General features: G+C 38.7%; 2 protein-coding genes across 8 annotated transcripts in view, besides 1 other annotated feature; one reads left to right on the plus strand and one right to left on the minus strand.

The window, feature by feature from the left end:
* The window catches only part of ARHGAP6 (Rho GTPase activating protein 6), a 528,377-nt gene that overhangs the window by 154,447 nt on the left and 353,736 nt on the right, over positions 1-20,194 (minus strand). The gene's annotated exons all lie outside the window — the stretch shown is intronic.
* Positions 1,423-17,598, plus strand: AMELX (amelogenin X-linked). 4 transcript variants are annotated; one of them, NM_182680.1, is made up of 7 exons: positions 1,423-1,478; positions 2,787-2,852; positions 4,789-4,836; positions 6,113-6,154; positions 6,246-6,287; positions 6,558-6,983; positions 8,617-8,771. In NM_182680.1, exons 2-7 carry the CDS (start codon positions 2,799-2,801, stop codon positions 8,620-8,622), a joined length of 618 nt encoding a protein of 205 aa, NP_872621.1. In that variant the 5' UTR covers positions 1,423-1,478; positions 2,787-2,798; the 3' UTR covers positions 8,623-8,771. The 4 variants fall into 4 exon arrangements, with proteins under 4 accessions (NP_872621.1, NP_001133.1, NP_872622.1 ...); NM_001142.2 differs by lacking the exon at positions 6,113-6,154; NM_182681.1 differs by lacking the exons at positions 4,789-4,836; positions 6,113-6,154.
* Positions 12,978-13,626: an enhancer, noted in NCBI's record as "NANOG hESC enhancer chrX:11323088-11323736 (GRCh37/hg19 assembly coordinates)". NCBI's record gives its function as "activates a minimal SCP1, AML or CMV promoter by ChIP-STARR-seq in naive H9 embryonic stem cells {active_cell/tissue: H9 hESC(naive)}" and the evidence as "EXISTENCE:reporter gene assay evidence [ECO:0000049][PMID:30033119]".

The raw sequence follows: 20,194 nt of genomic DNA on the forward strand, positions 1-20,194 counted from the left end.
GGGGAGAGTAATAAATAGACTTCCATTTCCCCAGAGATGTCACTCATCTACTTTTCACATGAATTCCCTGAGCTAGGTTCTGTTATTATTTCCATTCTACATATCAGGAAATTGAGGCTCAGACAGGCTAAGTAATTTGTATATATACGTATAAACATATGTATATATACAAACTTTATAAGTATTACTTGTGTATTCAAAGAGATCCAAGTATAACATCAACTGTATCTGGGTAGATATTCAGTATCTCCTTTATTGATCTAATATTGATGGACGACTCGTCAGTTAGCTCCTGCCACTAATTACAACTTTGCTCAATTAGATCAATCTAATCAAATTCCAGAATGAAAGAAAAAGCCCATGTGTTATACCAAGGTAGAGGGGTAAAACACACATGAATTTAATAGGTAGATGATCAGAGGTTCTTTTAGAAAGTGAATAGCTTTGGTCATTGCTTAGGGAAAGGGGAGGCTGCTGAGAACATGGAAACAAAGTAGCTAGCCAGACAGTTAAGAGACTCTGAAAAATAGAGAGGAATTTGGGTTTGCCTGTATGAGAAAGTGGGATTGGGCCAGAAGGATATGGGCAAAGAAGGGCCGCCATACTGAGAGGCCAAGCTGCTCTGTGAGATGGGAGGCAAAGGACAACATCCCCTGTGACATGAGTTTGCTTGTAAAAAACAAAATTTACTTTAAAATGTGCTGTCTGGTGTGCACTCCTTGCCTTGTAGTATAGATCATCAGTAAAAGCTTTGCTACTGCAAGAACCTTAAGTTCCTGATTGTTTTTACGGTAGATGGGTTTCAGCATGGGGCCGAGAAGGGGCTTTGTCCCCTGTTTTGGTGGACACCAGAGGGGTGATAAAGGAGTAGCCAAGGGGAACAGAGAAAAAATACCTTCAATGGAAGCAGATAATAGAGCAGTGGTGATCCCAAAATTATAATTCCTCAGAGAGAAACTAGAGAGAGCTTTGGGGTTTTACCCAAATGGGAATTTGAATCAATTTCTCCTGATCTGAAAGGGCTGGAAAAATCCTGGAGGATATCCAGATTACACTAGAGAATCTCAACCACCTACCTTGATTTTTGTAAAGAACAACGTTGTTTGCTAGAACTGAGGAAAAGGCGATGGCAGAGAAGCTTTTTAAAAATAAATCTGAATATATCAACATGTACAGTCAACTAATTTGCTGACTTCAAAATAGCGTGATGAAACTCTTTGCCTGTTAAACCTATTATTGCCCATAATGAAAGATTCCATATGCACTAATCACAACATACAGCCTTATGTCTGATCATAGCTTCTAAAAAATCATGATACAGGGATTTTTAGTTATACTCAACACATTTTTCCTTTAGAAACTGGATTGGTTGTTACAGATGCCATGAATGATATAAATTGAGCTTATAGTTGGAAGAAATCTAAAGGATCAAGCATCCCTGAGTTTCAAACAGAAACTTGCACTGAATACATTCAAAGGTATGTGGATTTTATTTATAATTTGATATCCTTTTTATTGTGCTTATTTCTTTCTCTGCATTTCTTTTAAAAGATATAAATGTATTCTACATTTCTAATACTATATGCCATCAATAGTTACTTTTTAGTTGGCCCATAATTAAATTAGACTCTGATTACTGAAATGATTTTTAACTTTATAATGCAACAAAGTGCTTGTCTAATTCCAAAGGTCTTTCTTGGCCACATTTCACAGTAAAATATTTATTTTAATTAATTATCGATTAAAGTAAAAATAATACATTCACAGGCTGTGATCTACTACTTTGAAAAGCTTTTTATTTAATTACATAAAATAGAACCATCCATGAAGTGTTTTTTCTCATTAACCCAAACAAACAAACAAACAAAAAACAAATTTAGGAGTTAGAAAACTTTAGTGTACTTTTCATAGACAGCATTATCACATGTAATATTCACTTCTTATACAAAATTTAAGGTCTTTCTTCTGACAGTTTTCCCAGTAATTTGTGCCACAAATCAATGTGCACATTTTAGGAGGACCTGTTTTGCTTAATGTCCCAAGGGTCTTATTTATAGAATAATTACAGTGCAACATCAAACAAAATGAAGATTCCATTGAAAGAAAATGAAACCTCTTAGGGAGAAAGTATTCAAAATTCATTGAAGAATCACATAAAATTCGTACCATCCTCTCCTGTTGGTTCAGCCACATCTTTTGCTCCACAATCTGGAGCTCAGAGATGTTACTGGAGGGTCTTGCCTGAAGTTCTGTAGATAGGAATTTCTGGAACTAAAATCTATCTTGGCAAATTAATATATTTTCTCAAATGATTAGTCCTTGTTTTTAACAGTAGCAATGTCCAGGTAGACTGTGCACGAGACATTTCTGTGCCTCCTTGTTCTAAAATTATAAAATACTGTGCACTTTGATGATCTTCCCAACCTTTAGAGCCAACTTTATTCCTTTAATCATTAATTATAAATACAATTTAGCTTCTATGACTAAGGGCTGTATAGGCATAGGAAAATGGCATGCAAAGTCATATGAAGATAGATCATTCATGTCCCTGTAACTTGTTTAGCCCTCAACCTAAATTAAATGCATCTTTATCACTACTGTGACTCCAGAAACAATGAAATAGGCTGAGAGCTGGAAATCACATATGACTGAAGTAAATTCACAAACAATGGCTCCATCCTTCTTACTAGCAATAGACTAATGTAGATTATGTGTGTTTTATGGAGCATTCATTACATCCATGTTTCAGAAGAGATAAGAAAAGTGGATGTTGACTTACATTTCAGAACCATCAAGAAATGGGGACCTGGATTTTATTTGCCTGCCTCCTGGGAGCAGCTTTTGCCATGCCTGTGAGTAAAACACCCCTTGCATAAGTCAGTGTCCAATTTCACAAACTTGGACATAAAAATCTGCTCATAGTTGGTGAAATTAGGGTTTAAAACAGTATGAGATCAGATGTCTTCATATGTCTCTGGGTTGAAGAAACACTTCAGGAGCTTGTTTTAAAAAGGTATATTCTCAAATGCCGCTACCAAAAATTCTGATTTGGTACAGCTGGGGCGGGGCCCAGGACTCTGCATTTTTATAAGCACCCCAGGAGATTCTGTTGGAACTGTTAGCTTGTAAATATCACCACCCATCTCTAGATGGAGGAAGCTTTTGGAAGGGACCCTTGAAAGGTCTCCAGAGAAAGTGCTTAACCAGCTTTGGACAAATATTACAGAGATGCCAGTTTTGTCTAAAACCCAATTCCTCTCAAGATTCCAAATCTCTTCCTGCCCTCCACATATTGCTGCTCTTACCCCTCAGGGGGTAAGATTTTTGTGTTAGGAATCCACTTTTTGAGCCACATTCCTGTTCTCAGAGGCCCCACCCCTTTGGGTACATCTGATGAGTACGTGACTTTTTTGTGGTTGCCCGGGATCCTGCCTACACCCAATACATAGTGATATATTTTATATTCAAATGTATTAAAGATCAGGACATTAGACCCACTCTGTCTGGACACAGGTGCATAAGGGCAGAGAACTTAGATCACATGCATGCCAAGCAGGCTGCATCTGCTTTTTGGTGGAATAAAGAGCAGTTGATACAACCAGAAGCCAGCAAGCTTGCACCCTTGCCTCCTCTCTTCCTCTCTCACCCACAAAACCAAGATTCTGTGCTCTGACTTCCTGAAATCCTGCATTGCAGCGATTCCTAGTTTCCTCAGGGGTCCCTGCCTTACAAATTCAGCCCTTTTCCCACTCTCTAAGATGGTATTGTTCAAGAGGGTATAGGACCTGACTAAAACCATTCACATCCAGATGAGAGAGAATAAACCTTCCCATGAAATGTGAGCATTTTTAAAGAATATAATAGAGCCAATCCTAAATGAGGCCAATGTCTGAGGGAGATTTTCTGCATGACCGTCTCTCCTCCCTGGACCCCAGGCACAACCAGAGTTCCACAATACAGGCACCAGACACTTGGGCCCCACTTTTGAGAGGACAGACAGTCCTGATTCAGATCATCATTCAGGTGGCCTTTTATTTTTAACTTGAAAATTTTTCTGCCATAAAACCGTTGGCAGAATAATAAAAAAAGATCGGCCTAAACGTCATAAATCAACTCTTTCATTTTCCATGGGATTTATAATGTTTCCACTTTGCTCCACCCATCTTGTTCTGGCATTCATCAATAATTCCCACCTTGTGGTTTCTTTTGTGGCTTCTTTTGTTGTATGGAAGTGTTGTTTACTTTGCATGTCAATTATGAGAAATCCCTTTGATACTTAAAAGTACTTGACCACCTCCTGATCTACAAGGGAACATTCGTGAGACAATTCTCTCCTTGTTGATATTTCTTTATTGTGAAAGAGAAACACACTTCTCTCCCCATTATGGGGTGAGTTTTATCAGCAAGTAAACTGTTGGGCAGGATAGGGTAGGATTCATTGAAAACACTGGGCGTGGGGGTGGGATGCTGTCCAAAGATCACTGGAGAATAAATGTGTGCTGGTTTCTGCTTCCAGGTCTCCAGCCATAAGGCTATAACCCCAGGAACAGTCATTTAGCTGTTCTGAACCTCTTTAAAATAAAAGGTCTCCTCTTCTATACAGCACATTTGTTCAAACTAAAAACAGACCTCAAGTATATTCTGCACTATATAGATTTTTTTAAAGTAGCTTCAGTCTCCTTTAATGTGAACAATTGCATACTGACTTAATCTCTTCCTCTCTCTTCTCTTCCTTCACTCTCTCCCTTCCTCTCTCTTTCTATTCTCCTCCCCTCCTCCCTGTAAAAGCTACCACCTCATCCTGGGCACCCTGGTTATATCAACTTCAGCTATGAGGTAATTTTTCTCTTTACTAATTTTGACCATTGTTTGCGTTAACAATGCCCTGGGCTCTGTAAAGAATAGTGTGTTGATTCTTTATCCCAGATGTTTCTCAAGTGGTCCTGATTTTACAGTTCCTACCACCAGCTTCCCAGTTTAAGCTCTGATGGTTGGCCTCAAGCCTGTGTCGTCCCAGCAGCCTCCCGCCTGGCCACTCTGACTCAGTCTGTCCTCCTAAATATGGCCGTAAGCTTACCCATCATGAACCACTACTCAGGGAGGCTCCATGATAGGGCAAAAAGTAAACTCTGACCAGCTTGGTTCTAACCCAGCTAGTAAAATGTAAGGATTAGGTAAGATGTTATTTAAAACTCTTTCCAGCTCAAAAAACTCCTGATTCTAAGATAGTCACACTCTATGTGTGTCTCTTGCTTGCCTCTGCTGAAATATTAGTGACTAAGTGGTATAGGAGAGACTCCGCAGAACAGCGGAATGCATGAGTTTTGGACGTCGGGTTTGAGGTTCTCCTCAACCTCTTACTAACTTTGTGATTTTGGGCAAATCATTTCCTCTTTCTGGAACCCTGGTTTCCTCATCTGGAGAAAGGAAATAATTATAATAACCATATTTCAAAATATTGTTTGGAGAGTAATATAGTTAATGAATATGAAAAGTGCTTTGTCAAGTATAATATGAGCAAGGTTACTGATTATTTTTTGTATCGATTAAATGCCGTATTACTATATGAAGAATCCTCAAACCTAAGGCTAACCAAGTATATATACTGTTCAGAAAGGAATAAGATTCTTACTTCTCTCACAGGTTCAGGTAACAATCTATGAGTTTATTTACTTATAAAAGCTGAAGACAAATGTTAGTAAGATTTTGAGGCAAGATTTTCTGTTGAACCGAAAAGATTGACACATCTGATCAGTCAATCTGTGTTTCTAGGATGAGGGACAGTGTTTGCACCTCTCTTTTTCCCATTGTGACATCAAAGAAAAAAATGAAATTAACATCATGTCATATTATTATGTCATAATTTTGTGTTTGTTTTGCTCTTACAATGAAAAGAAGGAACTATGGAATTAAACAGATTTACTCCCTGTGTAACCTCAGTCAAGTTAATGAATCTCTTTAACTCCCCATAACCTTATCTAAAAAGTGAGAGTAATAATACTTGCCTCCTAGCATATAAGAAAAGATGAAGAATGTGTGTGATGGATGTAAACACAGTGCCTGTCACACAGGAAGCACCCAACAAATTTTTACCTTCTTCTTTCTTTTGTAGAACTCACATTCTCAGGCTATCAATGTTGACAGGACTGCATTAGTGAGTCTATATTTCCTACTGCATCAGTGAGTTTCTATATTGGATGAAAGTAAATTAAATCAAATGGGTTCTAATATCTTTTTCTCTTAAGGTGCTTACCCCTTTGAAGTGGTACCAGAGCATAAGGCCACCGGTATGTAGACATTTTGTTCCTTATTCCCTGAAAATATTAGGCATGCATTAAAATTCCCATATTAAGTGAAATATCATGTCTACTCCACATGCAGACATTAATGGGAAATTTAGTTTGTAAAAAATCATATCTGTGTACACAGTTACAAATTTTTGCAAAGGAAAAATGAATAAAATATTCCTATAGCCATAATGGCAAAGAAAACACTGCTGCTTCTCTGGTTGGAGTCACCTGAGCCAATGGTAAACCTGCCTCTCTGTTTCTCACCAGTACCCTTCCTATGGTTACGAGCCCATGGGTGGATGGCTGCACCACCAAATCATCCCCGTGCTGTCCCAACAGCACCCCCCGACTCACACCCTGCAGCCTCATCACCACATCCCAGTGGTGCCAGCTCAGCAGCCCGTGATCCCCCAGCAACCAATGATGCCCGTTCCTGGCCAACACTCCATGACTCCAATCCAACACCACCAGCCAAACCTCCCTCCGCCCGCCCAGCAGCCCTACCAGCCCCAGCCTGTTCAGCCACAGCCTCACCAGCCCATGCAGCCCCAGCCACCTGTGCACCCCATGCAGCCCCTGCCGCCACAGCCACCTCTGCCTCCGATGTTCCCCATGCAGCCCCTGCCTCCCATGCTTCCTGATCTGACTCTGGAAGCTTGGCCATCAACAGACAAGACCAAGCGGGAGGAAGTGGTGAGTATATTTTGAAGCCACTACAATGCAAATCCTGTGAAAATGGTGCAGCAAAATAGGCCCCAGAGTTCTAAGGTCTCCGACAACCAAGGATCTAGAGTTGTAGTAGTTACAGGTCTATGATTCTATTAGTCCAAGCAATATGCTATACCTTTATGTTAAAGACAAATTCCTCTAAATGGCTTGGTAATTAAGACCACAGTTTTTATGGTAGGTTTCAATTTTACTATTACTGAATTTCTACCAGAATATGTATTACCAAAACCCATTAATAGAAATATATATTACTAAACCCCATGAATTTTAAGGGCAACAGTATAAGGGAATATCAGTTCTCCTTATATTTCAAAGGTTTGACTAGCAAGAATAGGCTAGAGTTGCACTGAAGGCTTAAGACAAGAGGGAGCGGATAATTTTGAGAGTGCAAATATCTGAACAGGCTACAAAAGGTAGACGGGAAATCTCTTCAAAAACCTACAGGAAGATTCCCCATTTCCAGTAGTTTTCAATCTAACTTGGAGGCGGCTAAACTAAACATACTGTTAGATTCCTTTTCTGTACTGGGGTTCTATAGATGATTAAGCTTTTAGCAAGAAGTTACTGCAATTTAGCACTAAATCTTCCATTACAGGTAGCTCTTACAAATGAATGGGAATAGTCAACAAAACAAACTTAATCTACATCCATAAAGTCTTACTTCTATGTATACGAGATTATGTGATCCTATCATGTATATGTATCCAACTGTAATTCCAATTTATACATGTTATTGATGATTTGCTACTGAGAAGAAGAGAGAAGTGAGGTGGAAATGACCAGGATAAGAAGCCAGGACACAAAGGTTCCAATTCTGGCTTTGCCCTCAAAGACGAGGCAGTATTGTAAAAGTTACTTCAAATGTATCGGTGTTTTATTTTCTTTTAAATGGGGGAAAATGACGAAATCAGATTATTTTCAAGTCTCTGTCCAATTATAAATACCATAGTTTCTGAATTTAAAAAAATCATAATATATGTCATAAATGGCTTCATAATTGTGAGCATGTTTACGGAAAATATGGGGCAGAATTTTTTGAAAATTGATTGAATCCCAAGTAATCGGTGCCTATCATTGGCTATTCTAGTCCAAGGCACATGTTCTCTCTGTACATAGAAAATGCATTTACTTCTTTATGAATAATTAATACCATGAACTTTATAATGTGCTCACATCTTGACAAAGCTATTTATGGAAAGGTGACTTTGGGCAGATAGTTTGAACTCTTTAAAACTCAGTTTCTTTTTGTGTAAAATTTGAGTATAAACATTGATAGTTTCTTAGAGTTGTTTTATGGAAAACAAAATAGCGTGATAAGCTTGGAGCCTGACATGCAAGACGTACCCCCCAAAAAGGTAGCAATTGTTATTTTATTATAAAATAATAGGCTTTAAGTGTCCTGAAGGTGGAAGCAGTCCTCATGGACACCTAATATCTAATGACAACGAAATAACAAAGAAACTTCAGAAATTATAGAGTTCAACTTAAATGGTTGTACATTGTTTTGACAAAACTGAAGCCAGACATGTTATTGTAAATGGTACTCACTAGGAACATTTGTAAATTATTTTAACTGTTCTTTTGCAATTTTTTTCAGGATTAAAAGATCAGAAGATGAGAGGGGAATGAATACTTCAGATGCTTTCAGGAGTGACACAAGAACACAATGATTTTTGCTTATAATCACTTTACTTAGCAAATTCTGTAACTAAAAAAGTACCATTAGCAGACAATAAAATGCATTAAAAATCATTCATGTCTTTGTGTTGAATGAAACTTAAATTTTCCTATCATTTGAGATGATATATTATGAATGAGTATTCTTGAATCAGGTAGGAACTGCTCATTTAGTCATACAAATTCACCATTTGGCAAGCAAATAAGGAATATATTTCTTTTTAGAGAAAATTTAAATTATACTGTCTCAAATCTTTTTTAAAAAACAAAGTTTATACATCAGTTAAAACAGTTGATAAAATGAAAATTTATGAATATGTACAATAACTAAAACCTGAACCAAATGAAGGGAAGTTTATATGAAAAATTCTTTACATTAAGAAAGATAAACTTTTGAAGAATGTTTATATTATGAAACAAAATAGGACATGGAACACTGGCTTTACACTTCACACCACACTGGCAATCAAAATCTGGTCTTTTGATCTCATTCTATGGAAAAAAGATTTTTAAATGAAATTATGTGATATGCATAATAATGTACTGAATTTAAAGTTATTCAAGTAATTTGTTTTCCTCAAAAAATGTTATCAATGGAGCTTCAAATAGAGAATTGCAGTGATTTTAAACACAAGTCATTTCTTTCACCTCATAACTTTAAGATAAATTGTACTGTATAGTCTTCAAAATGTTAACAAATGCATAAAATGGACTCAAAACAAGTTTTCTTTCTCACTCATATTTATATTTGAATCCTTTTTTCTTCCTACACCCACACAGAATTGTAAACAGTCTTTGCAGGGTTTATATTACACAAACCCATGGTAACTTTATTCCAGTACCTTTATGATTAAGGCCCCTTAATCATTTTCTGGAATGAATAAACATAACTTTATTGGGAGGGTGTCAATATTCAAACAAATAACTTGATTTTAAAGAATTTAGATTCAATTTTTTAAAGGTAGAAAAGCTTTTAATCAATTGGCATGGACCAATTCTAATCAATTGAGTCAATATTTATTAAGCACACTCTAGGGCAAGGCACTATTCCATGTGCTGGTGAAAAGAGCAAGGCCCCATCCTTAAGGAATCTAGAATCTACCAAAGGGGTAAAATAAGCCCACAAATAACAATTAAAAAGGCCAAATGGTATTAATACTATGACAGAAGTACAGTCAAAACACTCTGGCAAATATGGCAAATATCCTTGGCTAGCTGTCCAACAGCTTTCCTCACCACTCCTTTCCTGTTGGCAGAGCTGGAATCAATCCCAGCATTCAGCCACGGTTTCCAAATCAAAATTCAGATACGTAGTGTGATAATACAGAGGAATGTTTCAAACCAGAGACATACATTAACTGGTAATTATACTCTAATACTTGCACTGTCAAATATGGTAGTCCTGTCCTATGTGGCTATTTAAATGTAAATAAATTAAAATTAAATAAAACTTAAAATTCAATTCCTCCGTCATAGTAGACACATTTTAAGCGCTAAATAGCCACATGGGGCTAGTGGCTACCATTCTGGACAACACAGATACAGAATATTTCCATCACCATTCAGTTTTATCAGACAGCATTGCTCTATGTACTACTTCTTGAAGTTGAAAAATAATTCTTATTAATTCAAATATTTTAAACAAAAGATGAAACAAAACAGATTTGCTGGTTGAAACTGAAAATCTCAGCTACCCACAGCAAGTTGTTCCCCAAGCATGCCAGTAATCCTGATCCTCTATGAGAATTTTCTAAGAACTGTAGAAGTGCCATTCTCTTCCTCAGGCCAAACTTTACATACTAAAATGGTTTCCCCTCTAGCTTTCATTTAGAACAGATAAATCCAGAGTTCAGAAGATATTTACATTCTTTTCTATTTTGTGGTTCAAACTAATAGTGCAACATAACATAGAGGGAGGCACACATTCACGTTACACACACTCACACACCCATAACCACGCATGCTTTCTGGGTTTACCTGTAGTAAAAAGACACATGTGGAGACATGTGCCATTTGAGTAACTTGAAATTTTAAATAAAACTTCTTTCCATTACAATCATTTAGAGAATGATTATGTGGTTATGGTATTCATTATCACCACCAAGACATACTACAGTTCTTCCAATACAAAAATCATATCAAGAAAAAAAGATCAAGCTGTGCATTTCATTTCCAAGCAATGTCAAGTTTACCATCCCCTTTCTCAACTCCACACAAAATAAAAATACAGACTTTTCTCTAAATCCGAAGTTTTTCCTTTGGTAGTAAACAATAGCTGAAAATACCAAGACTGAGTTTAAGGCCAAGACTTTTAAAAAGAAAATAAATTAGTAGACAACTGTATTAATTGGGAAAAAATAACCCAAGAGATCCTAGTATGAACAGCTTAACATGAGACTAACAAGAGAAAAACGACTTCAACCAATTTCCTACATTTCCAGAACATAGTAGCATTTAGTAGTACTCCACATTGCTTTAATAAAATAGTCATCAGCTTATGTCTGTTGTGAAATTCTTGTTAGTTGGAGTTTTTACTTATTTTTGTGATTTGGCTTTCAATTCCTTTTGCCCCTATTTGATCTGGAGCCTTAACAGCAAGGGCCATAGGCCGACATTTAGATATTAAAAAATACCTCCCTGTTGGGAAAAGTCCATGCTGGCCTCATTTGAAACACCTGACTCTTCCAGACGATAAATAATTATTGAGGAATAAGATTGGGCTGGGAGTGGTGAGGATTTGAAGAGAGAAGAAAGGAGTGGTCATTTGGGTTCGAAACATTTACCTCAATAAATCACACTTGAATCCTCTATCACAAAATCTAAATTAATAAAGCCCATTTGCAAATATCATTGTCCTATGGTCAACAAAAAACACCACAGGACCCAGAATTCACTTTACTATTAATTTTAAAAATGAACGATATTAAAATCTCAATTCCTCCAAACAGCCAAATTTTGTTTGCCTCTCCAAATAATTTTCCATGCTTCATATTTGGCCATGGAATGTGCAGGCTCTGGGGGTGTCAGTTAAGTGTCCACAGAAGCACAAAGCCGGCTTTCCAGTGTGATGGTAGGGGGTGCAGCCTCCATAACCAAACCGTTTGATTCACAATCATGACCATTGCCTATCTGCTGTGGAAACTTGGACAATTTTTTTGGCCTCTCTATGGCTCAGTACACTCGTCTATAAAATGTACTAATATCATGCTCTGCTCTGAGTCTTTTCATGTTAATGAGCCCCAAGCTCAATAAATGTTAGCTACAGTTCTTGTAATCAGAAAGAGAGCTTTGTCCTGCCTCTGTAGACTCCCAAAGAGAACACTACCCAGTTGGAAGCAGGAGTGATACAAAATTAGGATATGACATGGAAGTTTTTGATGCCACAGGCACTGAAGTACATCACGTTTGTCTTTTTTTTTTTGAGACAGAGTCTTGCTCTGTCACCCAGGCTGGAGTGCAGTGGCATGATCTTGGCTCACTGCAACTTCCGCCTCCTGGGTTCAAGTGATCCTCCAGCCTCAGCCTCCCAAGTAGAGGGGATTACAAGAGTGAGCCACCACACCCAGCTAATTTTTGTATTTTTAGTAGAAACGGGGTTTCACCATGTTGGCCAGGCTGGTCTTGAACTCCTGACCTCAAGTGATCTGCCCACCTCAGCCTCCCAAAGTGCTAGGATTACAGGTGTGAGCCACCATGCCCGGCCCATGTCTGTCATTTATCAGTGCATCACTCTGACAGTGTAGCCACCTGAACACCTCCCTTACTGATTGTGACCCTAAATGATCTTTGCCTTCTCCTACCTGATATCCCCAGACACTGTTCTTTGCTGCCTCCAAGACAAGCCTTCATCCTCAATTCACCACTCTGAGGGTAACAGGAGAGCAACACCAGGCAAGTGTCATGGGGGCGCTCCACTAAGTGGAGGCTAGAACTTGAGACCACCTCTCTCTGCATGTCTTCCTTTTACCTTCTTTCTAGGGCTGAGCCTTTGTGTACAGTGACTCCCAACTCAGACCCTTCCCTTGTCACTCTGGCATTGGCACAATTCAGCTAATTCCACATTATAAGGATTTCATTTTTCTTTCTTTTACTTTTTTTTTTTTTTTTTTTTTTTTTTTTGAGATGGAGTCTCGCTCTGTCGCCAGGCTGGAGTGCAGTGGCTCAATCTCGGTTCACTGCAATCACCACCTCCCAAATTCAAGCGATTCCCCTGCCTCAGCCTCCTGAGTAGCTGGGACTACAGCCAGGCACCACCATGCCTGGCTAATTTTTTTTGTATTTTAGTAGAGACAGGGTTTTACCATGTTGGCCAGGATTGCTCAATCTCCTGACCTCCTGATCTGCCTGCCTCAGCCACCCAAAGTGCTGGGATCACAGGCGCGAGCCACTGCACCCGGCCTTTACCAAACCGTTTTCCTCTAGATGAGTGGTTCTTAAGCAGGTACAGTTGTGTCTCCTAGGGGACCTTTGGCAATGTCTGGAGTCACAACAGGGATCTAAACAAATCAAAACAGCTTGGGGAGTGGTAGGGGTGTTAAGGAGAATTTGCAAAATAAAGAAAGTGCTGTCCCGTGATTAAGTCAGCTAATGTCTCTAAATCAAAACTATCCTGTTAAAAGCCCAGATTTCACCACTACACAATATATCCATGTAAGAAAGCATGTCCACCCTCTAAATCTATAAAATAAAAAAAGTAAATTAAAACAAAATTTTTAAAAACCGTCCGACAGAAGTTAGAATAGTTATTTGCTTCTTCAGAACTTACTTAGAAGTGAGTATTTGTTTCTTGGGAGGTTACAAGAAGCTTGTCTCCTGTGAGTTAATTGTTCCTGCTTGTTTGACCTTCCAAAGATGTGCTAAGGAGCTAATTGTAAATCAGACTGAAGAACCTCTGAAAGTGATTGTGTCTACCCGAGTGATAAAGAGGAGAAAATAATAAATTTAGCCATGAGTGTAACTACTGAATTCAAGGTTATTCAATTAGTCTGGGATAAGTTCTGTTCTGAGATTTGCTTGGATCTGGCAGAATAATGAGAAATGAGTGGTTCTGTCCATAAAGTGGGCAGTAATTTAAGATGCCTTAATTCTCATGATTTTCAGAACCACCACTCTCCAAAAGAATGATTCTTTTGATTAAGAAGTTTTTGTTACAAAATTGTTACAGAATAAAACCCCTACAGCCATGGAGAATATAAAGCAGTGTATTGTAAGGAGAGAAGATGATTAAGCACTGACCTTGGGCAGCTGAGAATATCTGACAGACCCAGGCCATCGAACACCCTATCTGTCCAAATAACCAACTCAAGGCACTTCTGAAGTGAGGATCTCCCTGCCTCCTTGCTGCTGTATCCCAAACATCCGGGAGCAGCCATCAGTGACCCTCACCTCAATGCCACCTCTTCTAGAAATCTTCTCTCACTGCTCTACGTTGGCTGGCACTCCTGGAAGTGAGGTTCCCCTGTCTCCTTGCCCCCATATCCACACATCTGGGAGCAGCCATCAATGACCAACACCTCAATGTCACCTCTTCTAGAAACCTCTCTCGCTAGTCCACAGGGCTGGAGTGCACAGGCTCAGAGGTTTCCCAGGATATGTTGACCATGCCTCTATTTCAAACAACTGCTTCTTTCTACTTTTGTCTCCCCCTTAGCTGTCAAGCTCCTTGAGGCAGATTTGGAAAAATACCTGGAAACTGGTCAGTATGCTTAATATCTGCTCAATGAGCCATCATTAGCATTAAACACCCAGGATGCTGTCATATAAAAGTAATGATAATAATAACACTGAACATTTACTGGGCTTATTATATTTCAGGCACTATTCTAAGCACATGACATGTATTAGCTCATTTAATTCTCACAACGTTATAGAATTGTCTCTATCACCAATTTACAAATGAGGGTTTGAACTTTAAATTTTAACAAGAAGTTAGGCTCTTTTAAAACACACACACACTGCCCCATTTTTTATGAGTACCATTTGAAAGATAAACTAATTCGTCATCCGCCTCTAGGATTCTAATTAAACAATCTATAGCTATTTTTAATGGCAAATGTAAATTCAACTCCATTAGAGTCATGAAGCTTGTCTCCTGTGACTTAATTTTTCCTGCCCATTTGTCCTCCCAAAAATATACTAGAGAGCTAACTGTAACTCAAAATGAAGAATCCCTAACTCATTAAATGCTCTGTAGTTGCATGAGGGAGTTGCCTCTTGTGCTAAACTGCCAAAGATGGGGAGGAGACAGCTACAAACATAGGCAAGTATCCCCTACGCTAGGACAACATTGCCATGGCAACCAGGGTAAGGGCAACCAGCTTTGAGTGTGAACCTGCTCATGGATGGTCCTCATGCCTTCTCTGGTTCCAAAGGATGGATGGAAAACAAAGAAACGCAAGTCCAGTGCTCGTAGAAACCACAAGGCCCTGTCTTTCTCTCACTGATTAGTTCAATGAAATAATCATGTGTTTTAGGAGACCCAGGCCTTGGCCCTCCGCTATCTTCCTTCCCAGACAGCCCACTGAACACACACTCAACGCATACAGAAAGCCCATTTCAAGCAGCATTCTGAAATTCACCGAGAATGACAAGAATAATAAGGCTACTGATATATCCCTACCATGACATTGAAGCAGAACTAATTGGCTTGCATACTCTCTCTACCTGGCATCTAATGCCCAGATTAAAATAGATGACAAAGTTCAGGTACCCCAATAGCTTCCTGCACTGCAGCCTCTACAAATGTTAGCTATCAAGGCAGCAGTCCAAACTGGCTCCTTCCATAGGGTCCTGACTAGGGAAGGAAATGTTTGCAAATTTGCACAGCTGCATGCAATAACAAATTCAGGCTCTGCAGGTTTACAAAATCCCATCTTCTCCCTGTGATTAGGAACTTGGGATCAACTTGTTTTCCACAAATGATTTTTCTTAATCTGGAAGTAGGTACAACAGAGGAACTTCAAAATCTGTTTCTTTTGAGACAATTCTCAATTTTTAAAGTACTTATTAAACATTGCTAAAATGTGCAGTTCTTATCAGCAGGATTTACAATGACACTTGGAAAGCAATGGGATTTACTGCTTTTGTGGCTTTTTTTTCCCCGTTCTGGTAGTGAAAAAATGTTCCCGATAAACAGTAATAGATATCCAAAAATCTGCAATCACCACCACATTAGTTGATTTGATAGTTGCTATTACTGTAAATAATCAGAATCACAATAAAAAGTCTATGCCTACAAAATGAAATCACTTAACAAACTGTAAATAATCATAATCTAAGAGCAGCAAATTTTCTTCAAAAGCAACTTGGCTTTTAACAAACTAAATAATTCGTATATATTTTAATTACTTTATACCTATGGTGGCATGTGCACATGATAGAGAGAGGAAGAAATTTGCAAATGAATTGATGTGGCCTGATCATATTGTTTAAGGTAATAGATCACCAATCTGTAGAAAAGCCAATGATTTCACTTTCTTGGTGTTAACACACAATTCACCAAATAAACCAATATAAGTTTAGGAAGGATTCAAAGCAGCTTTTACTTGTAGCTATATGAAACCAGCAAGTATTTAATTAGGCTCTGTGAACACTTCGGTAACAATCTAAATTAATATTCTGAAAAGATGAGTTTTAAGGTTCTTTCTATGAAATCATTAAAGAAAAAACCCTGGAATCATTAAAAAAAATAAAATTTGCACCAGATGCTACCTTTATTGTATGCAAACAACAAAACCAAAGTTTTCTGAACCAGCCATCTGTCTTTGCTGCATGGAGTGGCCACAGGACAGAGCTGAACCACATTTTGTGGTTCCACATTAGTACCCTAATCAGTTATCGATGTTATAGAATCTTGATCCTTCATCATACTAAGGAAAAGGGCAACCTATGCCCTTGTCCCCAGTCGTCAGTCATTATATAGTACCCAATGATTGAGACCCAAAGAGACACTCCATAGCAATGATGTTTTGGCTCATCCTGGATTAGTCTGGTGATCCTGGCAATGCCTGATTCACTCTGAACTTCAGTTTCCTTACCTCTAGCACAAAAACACTGGACTGGAACAGTAACATTAAGACCCATGCAACAGTAACATTATAAGCCAATGTGCATGTTAAAGTCAAATTCCATTGATTTTCAAATACTGAGAAAATAGCCAAAAGGAATGGTGCAGAAGAAATGGTGGGTCCTTACTATGATTTGCTCTGAACTTTCAATAAAAATATACACGTCTTGGCAATGGTATGTAATATTCCAATAAGCCTGGTTTGAAGACTCTGAATTTACTCTTAAAGCAACAGGCAGAGGCAGTGTGACTGTCATTTGAACCACCTGAGCTTTGATGTTAAAAGAGACTCAAGCGCCAGGACACATTGAGCAAATCCCTCCAACGCTATTACTTCCCTCCTTCTTTCCTACTTATGTTCACCTTTTCCAGATGCTGCTCTGGGATTATTACCCCATGGAATCTTTCACGTCTTCCTGGCTTGGGTCCTACCTTGCTTCTAGCAGTAGGCACGAAACACAGAGCCTGAAATACACACACCGTATCTTCTTACCTCTCCAGGGTTCTTACACCTCAGCAATAGCAGCAGCTCCAGGCAGTAGCGAGCCCCCATACTCCCCACGCAGAGCCCCTGTGCAGTGTGGGAACAGAGAAGGAGACAGGAGGCAGGGAGGGACACTGCTCAAAGTGCTAGAGGAGCCGGCCAGGCAGTCTCCCTGTCTGGAATGCACAACTAGAGGATCTCGGAGGGAGAGAGCCTTGGGTCACTGTGATCCTCTGAGTCAGACACCCTGGGGAGCTCTTAGTTCTGAAAGTCCTCCCCAGGCACAGAAGGCTGAAAGCCCCCAAGCACCCACTAGGAAGAAAAGTGTAAAAGTTAAAAAGTTAAAAAGTTGAGATAAATGAGGTAGACATATGGCAGTTTACAGTAGATGGTAGAAATGCAGTATGATTGCTGGAGGGAAAAAATCATTTGAAAAAAATGCTCACTCACATATCTGATGAGAGATTTGTATCCAGAATCTGAAGAACTCTTACAATTCAATAATAAAAAGACAACCTAATTGAAAAATAAGAAAAAAAATCTGAATAAATATTTCTCTGAAGAAGATATACAAATGGCTGATAAGCATATGAAAAGATGCTTGATATCATTAGCCATCAGGGAAATGCAAATCAAAATCACAGTGAGGCTCATGCCGGTAATCCCAGCATTTTGAGAGGCCAAGGTGGGCGGATCACTTGAGCTCAGGAGTTCGAGATCAACCTGAGCAACATGGCAAAACCTCGTCTGTACAAAAATTAAAATAAAATAAAAAACAGCCTGGTGTGGTGGTGCGTGCCCATAGTTCCAGCTACTTGGGAGGCTGAAGTGGGAGGATCACCTGAGCCCAGGGAGGTCGAGGCTGAAGTGAACTGTGATTGTGCCACTGCATTCCAACCTAAGTGACAGAGTGAGACTCTATCTCAAAAAAAAAAAAAAAAAAAATTATCACATCACGCCCACTAGGATAGCTTTAAAAAAAAAAAAAAACTGTTGGTAAGGATGTGGAACCCTTACATAGTGCTGGTGAGAATGTGTCTCCAAATGTTAAACATACATTTGCCATTATACTCAGCAATTCAACTTTTAGGTATATACCCAAGAAATATGGACATGAAAAACATGTAAGTCTGCACAAAAACTTGCATATGAATGTTCCTAACAGCATTATTCTTAATAGTCAAACAGTCAAAACAACCCAAATAATCCATCAACAGATGAAGGAATAAACAAAATGTGTCATATCCCTACAATAGAATATTATTCAGCCACAAAAAGGGATGAAGTACTGATAAATACTACAACATGGATGAACCCTGGGGACATTATACTGAGTGAAAAATGCCAGACACAAAAGACCAAATGAAATACTGGCTCTTATTCCCTTGCAACAATCATTCCCCAATTACACCAGGCTCTTCCGAGGTCACCATTACTCCTGCAAATTTACCTATGTGTTTTGGCAGAAGCTACAGTGAGAGGAGGCTTCCATCTCAGTGTGGAGCTACAACCACTGGTCCCCAGCACATTCAGACCCTTCTTCTCAGCTTTGCTTCTAGGCCACTGACAAAAATTCTGTTCTGGCTTCATGGTTCAGCCCCACTCCTCCCCAACTCCTTCATTTCTGAGTAGTGGCTCCCTTCTCTCCATGTCTATGGTTCCTATCTGTGAGAGTTTTTTTGGAACTTACAGTTGCTCTTGTATATCAGGTAGTTGGCATCTCCAAAGAGATTAAATGCAACTTAAGCACAATGGACTCTCACAGTTCAGTGGGTTTTTCATAGCTGAAATTCAGTAATTAATTGTGACCCTCTGCCTTTTTCGCAGGGAAAGGATATACTTTTTTGAGCACTTAAACAAAAAAATTAGGGTATTGCCTCCAGGGGCCATTGTGCATTTTCACTATCATAAGTAAAAATGAAATTAGAAGGCGATGCCAATGAAGGAAGCAGTCCAATGAAGAGACTGCCACTATGGTCATTGGGTTAAAGAAAAGGTCGACATTCTTATGTAATTTTATCATCCACTAAGAGAAATACATTACAGTTACTGACATTTTAATTATTAATTTTAATTCTTCTTTTTTTGCTTGTTTGTTTCCATATCCTTCATCTTTCCAAACTATTCCTGGGTACAATGGACCAATGCCCTTGAACATTATTTTCTTAACAATAACTAGTTCTATCCTGTGTCATGCTCAAGGTTTAGTTCGATCAGTGCATTCTGCTAACAGGACAGAAGTCTCAAAAGAAAGATTTGCTAGTGGCCCCAGTTAGCTACAACACATGGTTTCTGGAGTCACATTTTTGGCCAATATGTAACTTTTGCCTATTCTGGGTTTGTCTTAAAAATCTCAACCTTTAAACCCTTGAAAGTATCCATTTTTAAAGGTTGATGCCATTGCCTTCTGAAAAATGTCGATCAAAGTGTGGAGGAGAAGGCTTCCTGTCTAAGGATAACAAAGCTGCAAATGAACGTTCCCCAAAGCGCCGGCTGTGTTCATTTTGTACTGAAATGTCCATACAGGCTGATTCTGAAACACACTCGAGTGTTGTGGGTAATAGATGTCAAAAAATAAAACTCAGGCACACGCTATGTTACTTTTTAAGGGAAAAAAGTGGGGGGAAATCAAAGGGTTTAACAATTTTATTCATTGGCTTACATTCAGCGACTCTGAAAATTTGGCCACTACTCAGGTTTGCAAATTTCTATGGAAAATGAACTGTGTTTGGCAAGCTCAACGAAATATGAGGCTGATAAAAAAAAAATGTTTCATGCTTTCTCAAGACCTTATGCCACTAACTGTGTGGGATTGGAAAAACTGTTTAAATGTCAATTTAAATACTGTAAATAAATGATTTTCTATATCCATATGAATTAATATAATTCTGTTGATTTCAGGCCATAACTTGAACTAAAGTTTCTTTGAATTTTGATGAGGAAATGTTT

This window comes from Homo sapiens, chromosome X, assembly GCF_000001405.40.
Source record: "Homo sapiens chromosome X, GRCh38.p14 Primary Assembly".
NCBI classification, from domain to species: Eukaryota; Metazoa; Chordata; class Mammalia; order Primates; family Hominidae; genus Homo; species Homo sapiens.